At 36.0% G+C, this 14,627-nt stretch overlaps 1 protein-coding gene across 4 annotated transcripts in view; it reads left to right on the forward strand.

Moving 5' to 3' along the window:
• CDK8 (cyclin dependent kinase 8) overlaps positions 1–14,627 on the forward strand; it is a 151,110-nt gene that overhangs the window by 91,299 nt on the left and 45,184 nt on the right. For all 4 annotated transcript variants that reach the window (XM_047430033.1, NM_001260.3, NM_001318368.2 and 1 more), the window contains 2 exons: positions 3,645–3,755; positions 8,313–8,453. In XM_047430033.1, the coding sequence (XP_047285989.1) occupies positions 3,645–3,755; positions 8,313–8,453 (252 nt within the window). The remainder of the gene's footprint in view (positions 1–3,644; positions 3,756–8,312; positions 8,454–14,627) is intronic.

Genomic DNA, 14,627 nt, shown 5'->3' on the forward strand with positions numbered 1-14,627 from the left:
CTAGAGTGCCTTGGTGTGATCTCAGCTCACTGCAACCTCCACCTCCCAGGCTCAAGCGATTCTCCTGCCTCACCCTCCCAAGTAGCTGGGATTACAGGTGTGTGCCACCACGCCCAACAAATTTTTTGTATTTTTAGTAGAGATGGGGTTTCACCATGTTGGCCAGGCTGGTCTTGAATTCCTGAACCTCAATGATCTGCCTGCCTCGGCCTCCCAAAGTGTTGGGATTACAGGCGTGAGCCACTGTGCCTGGCCGCTAATTTTTATATTTTTAGTAAATTTTAGTAAAACACAGTAGATTGGTTTTATAAAGAAAGAAGTGATCTTAGTTCATAGATCAGAAGCCAGAGTAGGTTGTGTGTCCTTCTTTAGTTTAGTTGTGCATTTTGTTAATTTACACAATCATTTATTCGTGTGTTTACCAAATAGTTAATAAAGGCCTCTGCAGTACCAGGCATTATGCTAGGAGCTGGCCATGCAGCCATGAGAATGAATACATTAGTGCCTGCCGTTGTCAAGTTTGCCACCTGGTATATATTTAAGACATTTATGTCTCTGGATTGTAAAGACACATAATCCAGACATAATCCATTCCTCTAGGATGTTAGCTCTTGGGAGGTATTGGTATTAGACCATAGTAGTTACAAGTACTGGCTTTGTGTTTTAAAAGTTAATTTATTAATTGCTGGTTCTACCACTTCCTAGGAATGTAACCTTGAGCAAATTATTTAAACCCCTTAAACCCCTGTTTTCTCGTTTGTAAAATAGGGGTTATATAAATATTTCATGGGGCTAATTCATGATTAAATGAGATAATACATGTCACATGCCTAGTACCATACTTGGCATCTGGGAGAAGAGCTTAATCAAATTGTTGCTGCAGTGTTTTTGAATACAGGAGTGAAGTGAAACCTTTCATTGGAGGTAAAATTCAGGAGACACTAAGAATAACTTTAAATGTAGGTTTCTAATAATTGTGGAGCTCTTTTGCCAATGCTTTGGAATTTGTTGTTTTTTTATAATTTACACCCTGCCAATTACTAGAAAGAATTTGAAATAGCTGTCTAGCTTAGGAGTGTGTTCCAATTTTGAGATAATAGAAAAACACTGAACTAGAATTAAGACTACCTTAGCACGAGCTTTGGCTCTTTGAGCCAGCTGGGAGATCCAGGATTACCACAAAGTCTAGACTTTCCCTGTCAGGTTATTTGTGTTGTTTATTAATTAGGGAATGGTCAATTTTAGATATTAGCGTTTAGGTTTCTGAGGATTGGTATATAATTGCTAAAGTCTTATAAGTTTGAAAATTATATTCTAAAAGCAGAAATAATATAACCTGAACTTAATCTTGCTTCTGAATAAAATAATTATCACACCAGAGAATAATCTTTAATATGTGACTGAATATTTAATTGATTTATAGTCTTTGCTGAAGTTTACTTCAAAGCCCCCAATATAGTGTTAACTTTACATTGATTCTTATTTTTGTGGCAGTGTTCTTACAAAAAGCACTGAAGTTACAAGTTTTAAGATCTTGGTTTTCTCACCTGGCTGTCCAGTATTTGAAGCACATTTGGAAGGCACTGTTGAAACCTGTTTTAACTGATAAAGACATAGTACTGGGCTTCATGAGAGGCTTTTTCTTGTTGTTGCAGTTGTTTTTGTTTTTGCTTGGCAGGGTTAGGGGTGCTTTTTTACTGGATGGATTGTTAGGCCACTTTGGTTATCATAAGATAAGGAGACAAAATATTTTAAATAAAATAACATCCTTTTATGAGATGAGAAAGCACAAACCCATGAAAATATGCTCTCCTGGATGCTTCTCTCTACGTTCTTTGTTATTTTATGAAAAGTTACAAAATTTTAATCAACTTTACTATGTAATTTAAATGCCTGAAATTAGGTGCTGTATCTCACAGGGTTGCTGAACTTAATTTTCATATGATAATTGATGTTAATGAATGTTGCATCTTCTAATGTTGCAAATATTCTTTGATATTTTCTAAAAAGGATTACAAACTACAGATTTGTTTCAAGTTCAATTGTTATGTGATGTCAAAGCCTAGACAACTTGCAGAATGGGAGAAAGTTTTATAAATCATATATTTGATAAGGGATTAGTATCTAGACTATGTAAAGAACTCCTGCAACTCAGCAGCAACAACAAAACAACCTGATTCAAAAATGGGCAAAAGACATACTAAATAGACATTTCTCCAAAGACGATCTACAAATGGTCAGTAAGCACATGAAAAGATGTTCGACACCATTATTGACTAGGCAAATGCAAACCAAAACCATAGTGAGATACTACTTCATACTCATTAGGATATATGTTAATTTTTAAGGGAAAAAAGGGAGAAATAACCAGTGTTGGTGAGGATATGAAGAAATTGGAACCTTCATACATTGCAGATGGGAATGTAAAATGGTACAGCTGCAAGTTTGGTGGTTTCTCAGAAAGTTAAACACAGAGCAATCATTTGATCCAGGATTTCCACTTTTAGGTTTATGCTCAAAGCATTGAAAGCAGGGACTTTCATCAGATAGTGTATACCACTGTTCATAGCAGCATTAATCACAATAACCAGAGGTGAAAACAATCCATGAACATCAACAGATGAATGGATAAACAAAATGTGATATCTATATATATATCTATATAGATATATATATAGATATGCATAGAGTGGAGTATATTTATCCATAAAGAATGAAATAGGCTAAGTGAAATAAGCCTGGCATGAAAGGATACATATTGTATGGTTCCACTTACATGAAATATCTAGATTAGGAAGATTCTTAGGGACAGATAGTAGAGTAGAGGTTACCAGAGCCTTGGGGAAAAAGGCGGTGGGATTATTGTGTAACGCAGGGGTCCCTGCGTCAGCACCGGTACGTTAGGAATTGGGCCGTACAGCAGGAGGTGAGCCACAGGCAAGCGAGCATTACCACCTGAGCTCTGCCTCCTGTCAGATTAGCAGTGGCATTAGATTCTCATAGGAGCTTGAACACTATTGTGAACTGCGCATGTGAAGGATCTAGGTTGCATGCTCCTTATGAGAATCTAATGCCTAATGAATGATCTGAGGTGAAACGGTTTCATCTTGAAACCATCCACCATCTGCCCCTTCCCCCAGCCCCCGCCCTGCACCTCCACCCCATTATCCGTGGAAAATTTGTCTTCCTCAAAAATGGTTTCTGATGCCAAAAAGGTTGGGAACCGCTGGTTTAATGGATTCAGAGTTTCTGTTTGGGATGACAAAAAAAATTCTAAAATGGATAGTGGTGGTGATCGCAGAACATTGTGAATATACTTATAGGATGCCACTGAATTGTACACTTAAAAATGATTAAAATGGTCTTTTTATGTTAGATATATTTTACCACAATCAAAAAATTAAAATAACCAACCAAACAACAACAAAATAGATTTACTCAGATAATACCTGTTCAGTGTCTTTTCCTCACAGATATCTTCTCATTTGTTACTGAAGTATCCGTCTCAGAATTGTGTGGGTGCTTATTAGATGTTTAAGATTGTTTACCTGTGGGTTTGTATTGCCTTTGAATTACAAATGGTGTGGGGTTTTTTACATTATTTTTGTGACAGAAATAGTTAATGCATCTCCTTTGTTTTGCAGTTACTTCGAGAGCTTAAGCATCCAAACGTCATTTCTCTTCAAAAGGTGTTTCTGTCTCATGCTGATAGGAAGGTGTGGCTTCTGTTTGACTATGCTGAACATGACCTCTGGGTAAGGTGAATTGCTGGCAGACATGAGCAAACAGTCAGGGATTGTTAAGAGTAACTAAAAACAGTTAGGTGTTCTGCTTATTATGAGACTTATGTTTTTAAAATAAAAGTAACCTCATAGAGTGTGGTTGGTGGCATGACGAAGGCTAGAGTATTTGACTTTGTATTATTACTTTTCAATATTGTCACTTTGATCTTTTAACAGATACTAAAGAAAACAATAGAATCTAAAGAGTGTTCAACAACTATTCAATATTGCTTCATATAGTTTTTTGATAAAATAAAAAGTAACTAATATATATAAAATTTTGCTCTAAAATAGAAAAGTAGCATATTTCCTTTTATTTCGTTGTATAAAGGGAACATAAAATGAGAAGGTGGTATCCTCATGTAGGAGGACGAATATGCTATCTTTGGAGAGATCTAATAGTTCTACCATTATTTGTCGTATAGCATTAAGCAAGTCTTTTAATGGCTTTGAAGCTGTAGTTTACCCCATCTGTAAAATGTAATACTTTCTTGCCTTTTTTAACAACGTTTTTCTGAGGAACAATCTTGTATTTGAAAAGTTTTATAAATATACAAATGTAGGAAACTGTTATTAATTATTAACTATTCACAATTGAATTTAATATCCTAATTCTTATTTTCAGTGGCAGTAGTTCAATACAGTATAGTCATGCGCCATATAATGTTATTGTCAACTAGGGACTGCATATATGATAGTGGTCTCCTAAGATTATAGTACCATATTGTTACTGTACCTTTTCTATGTTTACATATGTTTAGATAACACACTTATTTACTATTGTGTCACAATTGCCTTCCTTATTCAGTACAGTAACATGTACAGGTTTGTAGCCTAGGAGCAGGAGGCTATAACATATAGCCTAGGTTTGTAGTAGAGTCTATCATCTAGGTTTGTGTAAGTACAGTCTGTGATGTTTACACAACTGCAAAATTGCCTAACGACACATTTTTCAGAATGTATCCCTTCATTAAGTGATGCATGACTGTATTGTACTTACTTGAATTGGGCATAATCTTGCATTGGAGGAATTTTTTGTGGATGAGAGCTCTATTACAAAATAAGATTCGTGTGAAAATAAATTTTAATATCTCTTGGGACTTTTAGTTCTTTGTTTTCTGACCTATGATAAGAATAGTTTTAGGCCAAGTGTAGTGGGTCACACCTGTAGTCCCAACACTTTGGGAGGCCAAGACAGGAAGATCACTTGAGCCAAAGTGTTTGAGACAAGCCTGGGTCACATGGCAAGACCCTGTCTCTGCAAAAAATAAAAAAAATTAGCTGGGCTCAGTGGCACATGCTGTGGTCCCAGCTGTTCATGGGGCTGAAGCTCAGGAAGTCGAGGCTGCAGTGGGTCCTGTTTGCACTGTTGCACTCCAGCCCGGCTAATTTTTGTATTTTTAGTAGAGACAGGGTTTCACCATGTTGGCCAGGCTGGTCTCTTAACTCCTGATGTCAGGTGATCTGCCCACCTCGGCCTCCCAAAGTGCTGAGATTACAGGCCTGAGCCACTGAGCCCAGCCAGTTTATTAGTTTATCTAATGCATTGCAGAAAATGATGCTATATTGAAAAAAATTACTGTAAAATAAGAACTTAATTTTATCTTGTCTGAGTAGCTGAAATACAAACACCAGCCTCAGTATTTTGCAGTTTACTAAGCAGATTATTTTTTAAATTGGTATTTGAGGAACTCTAAGGTAACTATAAAATTTGCTCTTTTATTAAATATAACATTTATATATTTTTTAAAAATCTGAAACGTTACCTTGCAGATAAAACTTTGAGATATATATATAGAAAATCTATAATAGGATAGCCAAAGTAATTTTGAAACATAGTAACAAAATTGACATTCTTATCAATCTGTATAGAGAACATCTGTTAATACAGATTATAGTTTAAGAAACAAGTAAACTAAACATCTAACATTACCTTGTGTTAATTCATTAAGAATTACTATACTCCTGTGAACTGCTTTTTAAATGATATTTAATAATGTCTTTAAACATTGTATTGATTTGCATACTAATCTATATTTACTAAATTAGCATGGCTATGCTTTTTATTATGTATACATGAAATTTTCTCTCTTTTATGAAACTCTTTCCAAAGTTCATGCTGGTTATTAATTTCTTCTTTTTTTTTAAATCTTTGGTTCTTCTGTTCTTCTATTTTAAAAGAAATCTAATCAGATCAACCCTGTTAAATCAGCGTGGCCAGTATTAAATTGAACACTCACTATGCTGAGCCTCATAAGAAATAAAGTCATATAATTTAAACTTAAGGCATTTTCCAGGCTGGTTTATAAACAAGATTTGTGATAAACCACAGTAGAGCATAGAAGATAGTATAATATTTCACTCAATGTGATTTCTAGCTGCTAGTTTGTAATATTTAATTTTACATGTAGGTACAATGATTATACTTCAGCAAATTTTATTGTGGGTAATATTGTACAGTGCATATAACTAGTTCATTAGCTTTATCATCATCTTAATAATATTTAAGCCAAATAAATATTTTTAATGTTCATTTTCATAAAAAACAAATGATAATTTAGCCTACTAAAACCCACTCCTTTATCTATTTTAATTGGAATGTTGAAGTGAATTGGTAGGGGTTAGGCAGCAGAGGGTAACAAGGCAGTCGCAATAAAAATAGTTATTTTTAAAAATCACTTAGGCGTTGGTGAGATTTCATGGTATGTATATTTTGCATTTGTTATGTAGCCCTGGAATATAAAGAAAATGACAGTAGGATTTGTCATTTTAAAACATTGGTAAAAAAAGTCACTTGTAATACTCTAATGAAAGTGTACATGAAGAAATATATATGAAATTGATTAATTACCTTACCTCTCCTACATATTTGTTCCTTTGATTCTTACTGCGGCAGAGTTTTAATTTTTTTTTTTTCAAAAAATTAACCTATTTTATTTTTATTTATATTTATTTTACCTGTTTTTATTAAGCTTGGAGAGAGCCAAAGAATCTTCTTCTTGTTTTTTTTGTTTGTTTGTTTTTGAGATGGAGTCTCGCTCTGTCGCCCAGGCTGGAGAGCGGTGGCAGGATCTCCACTCACTGCAAGCTCCGCCTTCCAGGTTCACGCCATTCTCCTACCTCAGCCTCCCGAGTAGCTGGGACTACAGGTGCCTGCCACCACTCCCGGCTAATTTTTTGTATTTTTTAGTAGAGACGGGGTTTCACCGTGTTAGCCAGGATGGTCTTGATCTCCTGACCTCGTGATCCACCCGCCTCAGCCTCCCAAAGTTCTGGGATTACAGGCGTGAGCCACCATGCCCGGCCCAAGAATCTTCTTCTTAAGGAGAACAGACTTGATTGTCACATCATATTTTAGGACAGGTGACAAAACAGCCTAGATTATTAAATTGTTGTAGCTCTGTTTTGTTTGCCTGCTATTAAATACTTTGAAAAAAAGACTGAGAAGAAAATTAAAGTAGATTAATGCTGCTAATTTAGATTAGTCATACTACATATGTGCAAACTGCTACACTTTACCTTCTCGTAGATATTTGCTATATATTTTTACCTTGGAGAGTAAAGCTCCTTTATTCATTAATCATTAGTTATTCCTTACTTGTGTCATATTCTGTATATCATAAGAAAATAGCAAGTGAAAATGTTAACTTATAATGTTAAATATCTCTTATTTTTATTATGTCTACTAATTTCAAGAACATGCTTAATATTTACTTACATGTATTGGCCAAGGGTCTGCTCTGTGCAATATTAGGTTCAGGGATATGTACAGTGGTGTGCAAGGCATAGTTTACTGCAGCCGAGTTATAGATTTTCCTGCAATTTAAGAGTGATCTAATTAAGAAAATGAGTCCTATCAAGAGCATTTGAAACTTTTCAAGAAAAAACTTGTAAGGCACATTTATTCATAAAGTAATTTTTCTATGTATAAAGTTGTGCTTTGTTTTACTGGATGTCTAACAACATTATACATAGAAAGCTTTGATGGATGGTACAAGGCAGTTTTTATTTTCCTCAGAATCTTTCCCATTTTTACATTTTTCCATTGTGAACTGGTATATCATTTCTTTGTGCTTGTGTGTATTTTATTGAAGCATCTCCCCACTTGCTTTCTTTATAACCTGTGTCATAAATAGGTTCTAATTCTATGCTATGTCAACCAGCCAGAAGTATCTCTTGAATTTTGTTCTTTTTTTTTTTTCATTTTATCTACCAGATAAACAGGAATCAAGTATACTCTGAAAGTAATTGATTTTTAATTATGCTTTAAAAATAAAAGCACAATATTTTCTGATTCCCTATTGTGATAATTTATCTCCTGAAATGCTGTCATATGGGTAGGAAATGGAATTTTAGCCCCAGTTATTAGGGAATTTTAAAGTTGTTTATGTTATTCAGCAGAGTACGAAATTATATTTTCAATATCTATGGGAATCCCTGAGTGTTTCTTTTTCTGTTAGGAAAATATTATACATCAAATTATCTTTTCCTTTTTTTAAGCTTCTGTTGATATTTTTTTCTTTCTTTCAGCATATAATCAAGTTTCACAGAGCTTCTAAAGCAAACAAGAAGCCAGTTCAGTTACCTCGGGGAATGGTGAAGTCACTATTATATCAGATCCTAGATGGTATTCACTACCTGCATGCTAACTGGGTGTTGCACAGAGATTTGGTAAGTTGACCTGTAATTGGTTTAAACTAGAAAGATGCATTACAGTTGGATACTTTTCTAGTCGTCTGTAGATACCAGTGCTATATGTAGGCCTGCAAACCTTATAGAAGTAGTGAGAATGCTACCTTCTCAAAACATGGCCTAGTAGTGTTTTTATATAATGCCTCCTGCTTCTCTGACATACACTAGATGGTATTTATTTCAAAGTGAAAGAAGAGACATTTGTGTTCCTAAGCTTCTGTTTCCTTTTAAGTTCATAAATAAAGCATTGGCTTGCTTTAAATTGATTATTAGATACAAGGCCAACTGTAGAAATTTATATATTTATAATAACTTGAAAATAAAATTTTGGGAGCCTACTGCATACTAATTTACATATTAGAAAAGGAAAATGTTAATTCAATATGCTTATATTTTAAGCCCCTCTATATTAGCAGTCTGTTGGCCAATCACCTTTATTAATCATAATTGAAGTATATTATTAGAAGCCTTGCTGTGTTCAGGTGCATTGAACTTTTGAGAATTTAAAAACTTAAGAAACTGACTTTTTAATTTTACGTTGCAAAGTCATTTATGCCTTTTTTCACCCATCTTGCACAGGGGTCCCCAACCCCCAGGCCACAGACCAGTCCATGGCTCATTAGGGACCAGGCCACACAGCAGGAGGTGAGCGGTGGGTGAGCATTACCACCTGAGCTCCGCCTCCTGTCAGATCAGTGGCAGCATTAGATTCTCATAGGAGCCAGAACCCTATTGTGAACTGCACATGCGGGGGATCTAGATTGCACGCTCCTTATGAGAATCTAGCTAATGCCTTATGATCTGAGGTGGTACAGTTTCATACTGAAACCATCCCCTCCCACCCCGCTCCGTGGAAAAACTTCTTCCATGAAACTGGTCCCTGATGCCAAAAAGGTTGGGGACTGCTGGTCTAGCATATTATTATTCATTAAATTTTCATGGATTTAAATTACCTAAACTTCAAATTGCCCTTTCTTACTACATAATTACATTGCTTTTATAGTTCTTTTCTTTGTAAAGATAGTAACTATATAATAAGGTTTATAAAGGCACCTTCATTTCAAACAAATATAAACACAATGCTAAAAGTGATTATTTTGTCTCTAATCACCTGTATACAAAGGAAATATCCTGTAGGCTATGAGGCGGAGCCCATCTGGTCTCTCGCAAAGATGTTCTTCACAAATTTAGTGGATTTAGTCTCTGGCCTTCAATGTGCTGTTCCAGTGGCACAGTTTATACTTCTTTCTTCTAGCTTTAGGGAATTGCCTTGTAGTACATTTGATGTTAGTTACTTTATCTCCAGTTCTCATACCTACAAAGCATTTAGACTAGGACCAGTAACAGCAGAAATTTGGTTGAACTTGTTTCTTTATGCAAACTTTTATTTTTAATACAGTTAGAATATTTCACTTATAAAAATAGATTTACAGGCCAGGCACAGTGGTTCATGCCTATAATCCCAGCACTTTGGGAGGCCAAGGCGGGTGGATCACGAGGTCAGGAGTTCAAGATCAGGCTGGCCAAGATGGTGAAACCCCGTCTCTACTAAAAATACAAAAAATTAGCTGGGTGTGGTGGTGGGCACCTGTAATCCCAGCTACTCGGGAGGCTGAGGCAGAGAATTACTTGAACGCAGGAAGCTGAGGTTGCAGTGAGCCAAGATCGCGCCACTTCACTCCAGCCTGGGCGACAGAGCGAAACTCCATCTCTAAAAAATAAAAGAAAACAAAAAATAGATTTACATAACAGAAATAAGACAAATCCTTTGGCATTTTGTGAAGCTCAAAATAAATTTTGGCCATTGGGGTGGAGTCAAGTTAGGGAAAAACATTTCTACTTTTGAGCTACCAGTCCTTTTTATGATCTCTAAAAGAAAAAACTGTGGCTTAAGGACATTTTTTTCCCCGTAGAGTCAGTTATGCTAAGATAGCTCTACATTTTCTTTTTCTTGTAAATTTTTTTTTCACTTGAAATACATATGTATATTAGGTAAATACAGACTGGTTTTTAAAACCAATATTTAAATTTCATGTAATAATATAAATATACTTAAGCCACTTAGATTAGTATTAAGTATGGTAGTGAAAATTATGATACCGAGTTTCTTTTATCTCTCTTATGGTAAAGCTCTTCCTGCTAATGCATCTTAAGTAGATTCTCTTTGACATAGGGGTAGTATAGAACAGATCATTTCAGAAGGCTCTGTCTGTTAGTGGTGTACTAAGTGGTGGAAAGTGGAAGGATTGGTGCCCCCTAATATAGGCAACAAGGGATGCATTATCTGTAGATGATTTAAAAATAATAATAAAGCACATTAAAAGTTAGTTGCTTTTTATTGTCACTATATGCTGGCAATTCTGAACAATTTCAGTAATAAAATATTTCTCTACGGTGAGGCAAATCACTCTTACTCCTCCATCCCTCTTGCCATTATTTAAAGTTTATTAATCCAAAAAGTTCTGCAGTGTCTGCTGCTATCTTCTTTGATTTCCATATTTGAGTGAGATTTCCCATATTTTCTGTGCATGACTTAGTGTTCTTTATAAACGTCTGACCCTTCTGTGTGTCTCACGCACGCAGAAGTCCACTGAACCATTGTTTCATGAAAATGATAGCCTTTGCCTCTAATCTAGATCCTACTGGTTCAGATGCCCACCTTTCAAATTCTTCAATTTCTGAAGAAAAATCTCATTTACCATATATGTACATTTTAAAATGTGAACACCTTCCTGCCAACTGAAAAAGTTTTAAAGTTTTAATGTTTATAGTGTTTGAACAATAGCTACATATGATTCTAATGTATGTAGTAATATGATATTAACTCTCAAGAACATTGTTCAGAAGCTGTATCACATAACTTTTTTAACATTTTTTCTCAAATATTTGTTGTTACTTGCATATGAAATATTTACCCTATCAAAACAAAAATTAATAGTTCATTATATTCTTTACCCCTGTTTAGTCAGATTTAGATCAAATGTGATAATGCTGACCTTAACTCTCTTCATAGATTTCTAATGCTATGAATTGGACCAGTTGGCTGACATGCCACAAGAAACTTCATATTAAGGTGGATAATTGGCACAGACACCCTAAAAACACCATTTTAATAATACTCTGGAATGTTATTGATGTCTTTGTTTAATAAAATTGGCTTTATTAATTAATAGAAATACTGGTTTGAGATGGTAGAGTTATGAATTTCTTTGATATGTATAGTTGAGCTTTTAAAATTAACAGTCCTATTTAATAAATAATGATTTATTTGGTTGCTATTAATTATCACATAGAAGCAGATCAGTAGCTGAAATCCGGCATCCTTGGTGGGAAAATAGAGATTTATTAATTCTGGAAATCTTTTTGAGCTGAGAGTCGTAATCAGTGTAAATGTATGGGTGTTTTAAGAAATATGGACCAGAAAAGAAACATAAGCAGTATTTATTTTGTGAAGTAATTCATTGATCCAAACCAAACTTTTTAGTTTTAGAACATTAAAATATGTATATGTAAGTTGTTGCTTATACACTTGTCTGTGTCCACTAGAGGTAAATAAGAACAAAGTTATGTCTGTTAAGTTAGCTTTGCTCCTTCCCTTGATGACTCTCTTCCCTTTTCTTTGTTTATTCTCTTTCTCTCCTTGGGAAGGGAAAATAGTTTGACTACCAGTCTACTATAGTCCTGGTTCTGGTATTACCATCTATACTGCTTAGGGTTCTCCAGAGATGCAGAACCAACAAGGTGTTTATACATAGATGGAGAGTGATTTATTTAAGGAATTGGCACATGCAGTTGTGGAGGCTTGGTAAATCCAAAATCTGCAGAGCAGGCTACAGGCTGGAGACCCAGGAAAAAGTTTTAGCTCTAGTCCAAAGACAGTCTGCTGGCAGAATTCCTTCTTGCTCAGGGGAGGTCAGTCTTGTTCTATGAAGGCATTCAACTGATTCGATGAGGCATATCCATGTTAAGGATAGTCCTTATGTGTTTTACTCAAAGTCCACTGATTTAAATGTTAATCTCATCCAACAAAACATTCACGGAAACATTCAGAATAATGTTTGACCAAACATCTGGGCACTATGGTCCAGCCAAATTTACACATCAAATTATTCATCCTTGGCTGGGCATGGTGGCTCACGCCTGTAATCCCAGCACTTTGGGAGGCGGGCAGATCATGAGGTCAGGAGATTGAGACCATCCTGGCTAACATGGTGAAACCCTATCTCTACTAAAAAAAATACAAAAAAATTAGCTGGGCATGGTGGCGGGTGCCTGTAGTCCCAGCTACTTGGGAGGTTGAGGCAGGAGAATGGTGTGAACCCAGGAGGCAGAGCTTGCAGTGAGCTGGGATCGCGCCACTGCACTCCAGCCTGGGCAACAGAGCAAGACTCCGTCTCAAAAAAAAATAAAAAATAAAAAAGTCATCCTATACAAGTGAATAAACAAGAAGCACAAGTTAAAATAATGTGAGGTAAGTTATTTGCCCTGTCTCTTCCCCCTCTCTCCCTGCTGTTACTAAAATAGGAGTATTGAGTTAAGGCATTCTAAGAATTTTTACCTCGTATTATAAAGAAGGGACTAAGTGGGAAATACTGTGAAAACAAGTAAAGATACATTTAACTTTCTAACACCGTTGTCAGGAATGTAAAATAATACAGCTGCTGTGGAAAACACTGTGGCAGTTTTTAAAAAAATTAAAAATAAGATTACCATATGATCCAGCAGTTCCACTTCTTGGTATATACCCAAAATAATTCAAAGCAGGGTCTCAAAGAGGTATTTGTATATGCATGTTCATAGCAGCATTATTCACAGTAGCTTGCCAAAAGGTAGAAGCAACCCAAGTGTCCATCAGTGGATAAATGGGTAAACAAAATGGGGTATGTACATACAATAGAATATTATTCAACCTTAAAAAGGAAGGAACTTCTCAGCCTGGGCAACATAGTGAAACCTCATATCCACAAAAGCAAAAATTAGCTGGGTGTGGTAGCATGCACCTGTGGTCCCAGCTACTTGGGAGGCTGAGGTGGGAGGGTCACTTGAGTCCAGGAGTTTGAGGCTGCAGTGAGCTGTGATTGTGCCACTGCACTTCAGCCTGGGCAACAGAGTAAGACTCTGTCTGTAAAATAAAAATTACAAAATTTCTTTTGGGTAAGAAAATTGACATATGTACAAGGATGAACCTTGAGGACATTATACTAAGTGAAATAAGCTAGTCACAAAAGGATAAGTACCATATGATTCCACTTTCATGAGGTACCTGAGTAGTCAGATTCATAGAGACAAAGTAGAATGGTGGTTGCCAGGGCTGAGGGGAGGAGCAGTTACGGGACGTTACTGTTTAATGGATGCAGAGTATGAAAAGAGTTTGGAGATGTACGGTGGTTGCACAGCATTATGAATGTGCATTTAATACTGAACTGTACACTTAAAATGGTTGATAAATTTTATGTTACGTGTATTTTACCACAATAAAAGACATCGGGAGAAAATATGTTTAAGTGATTCATAATAAGGAAAAGTTTGAAGTCTGCTAGCCTGATTGGATTCAGTTTGGTAATTTTTCTTAGCACAGTCAAATAACAAGACATGATGCATCAAAGTTGTATTGATACTGTTTGTGTAGAAGCCCAGTTTTGATTTGGCAATGGTATCTGAACTGTTTCTGAAAAAGTGGTCCTCCTTTCTAGATAGAGTTAAAACACATGGGCAAGGGCATGAGCGGTTTTTCACTACTGAAGCCTGTGTTGTGACCATTTTGAGAGCATCTAGACAACTTCACTAACTGCAGCTATGTGGCCTCATTTTTTTCTTCTTTTCTTTTTTTTGAGATGGAGTCATCACTCTGTTGCCCAGGCTTGAGTGCAATGGCATGATCACAGCTCACTTGAACCTCTGCCTCCCAGGTTCAAGTGATTCTCCTGCCTTAGCCTCCCAAGTAGCTGGGATTACAGGCGTGTACCACCACATCCGGCCAATTTTTGTATTTTTAGTAGAGACAGAGTTTTGCCATGTTGGCCAGGCTGGTCTCGAACTCCTGACCTCAAGAGATCTGCCCACCTCGACCTCCCAAAGTGCTGGGATTACAGACATAAGCCATTGCACCTGGCCTGGCCTCTTTCAGTAGAACTGATTTCAGTAGAACTTCAA

Source organism: Homo sapiens, chromosome 13 (assembly GCF_000001405.40).
Source record: "Homo sapiens chromosome 13, GRCh38.p14 Primary Assembly".
Classification (NCBI taxonomy): Eukaryota; Metazoa; Chordata; class Mammalia; order Primates; family Hominidae; genus Homo; species Homo sapiens.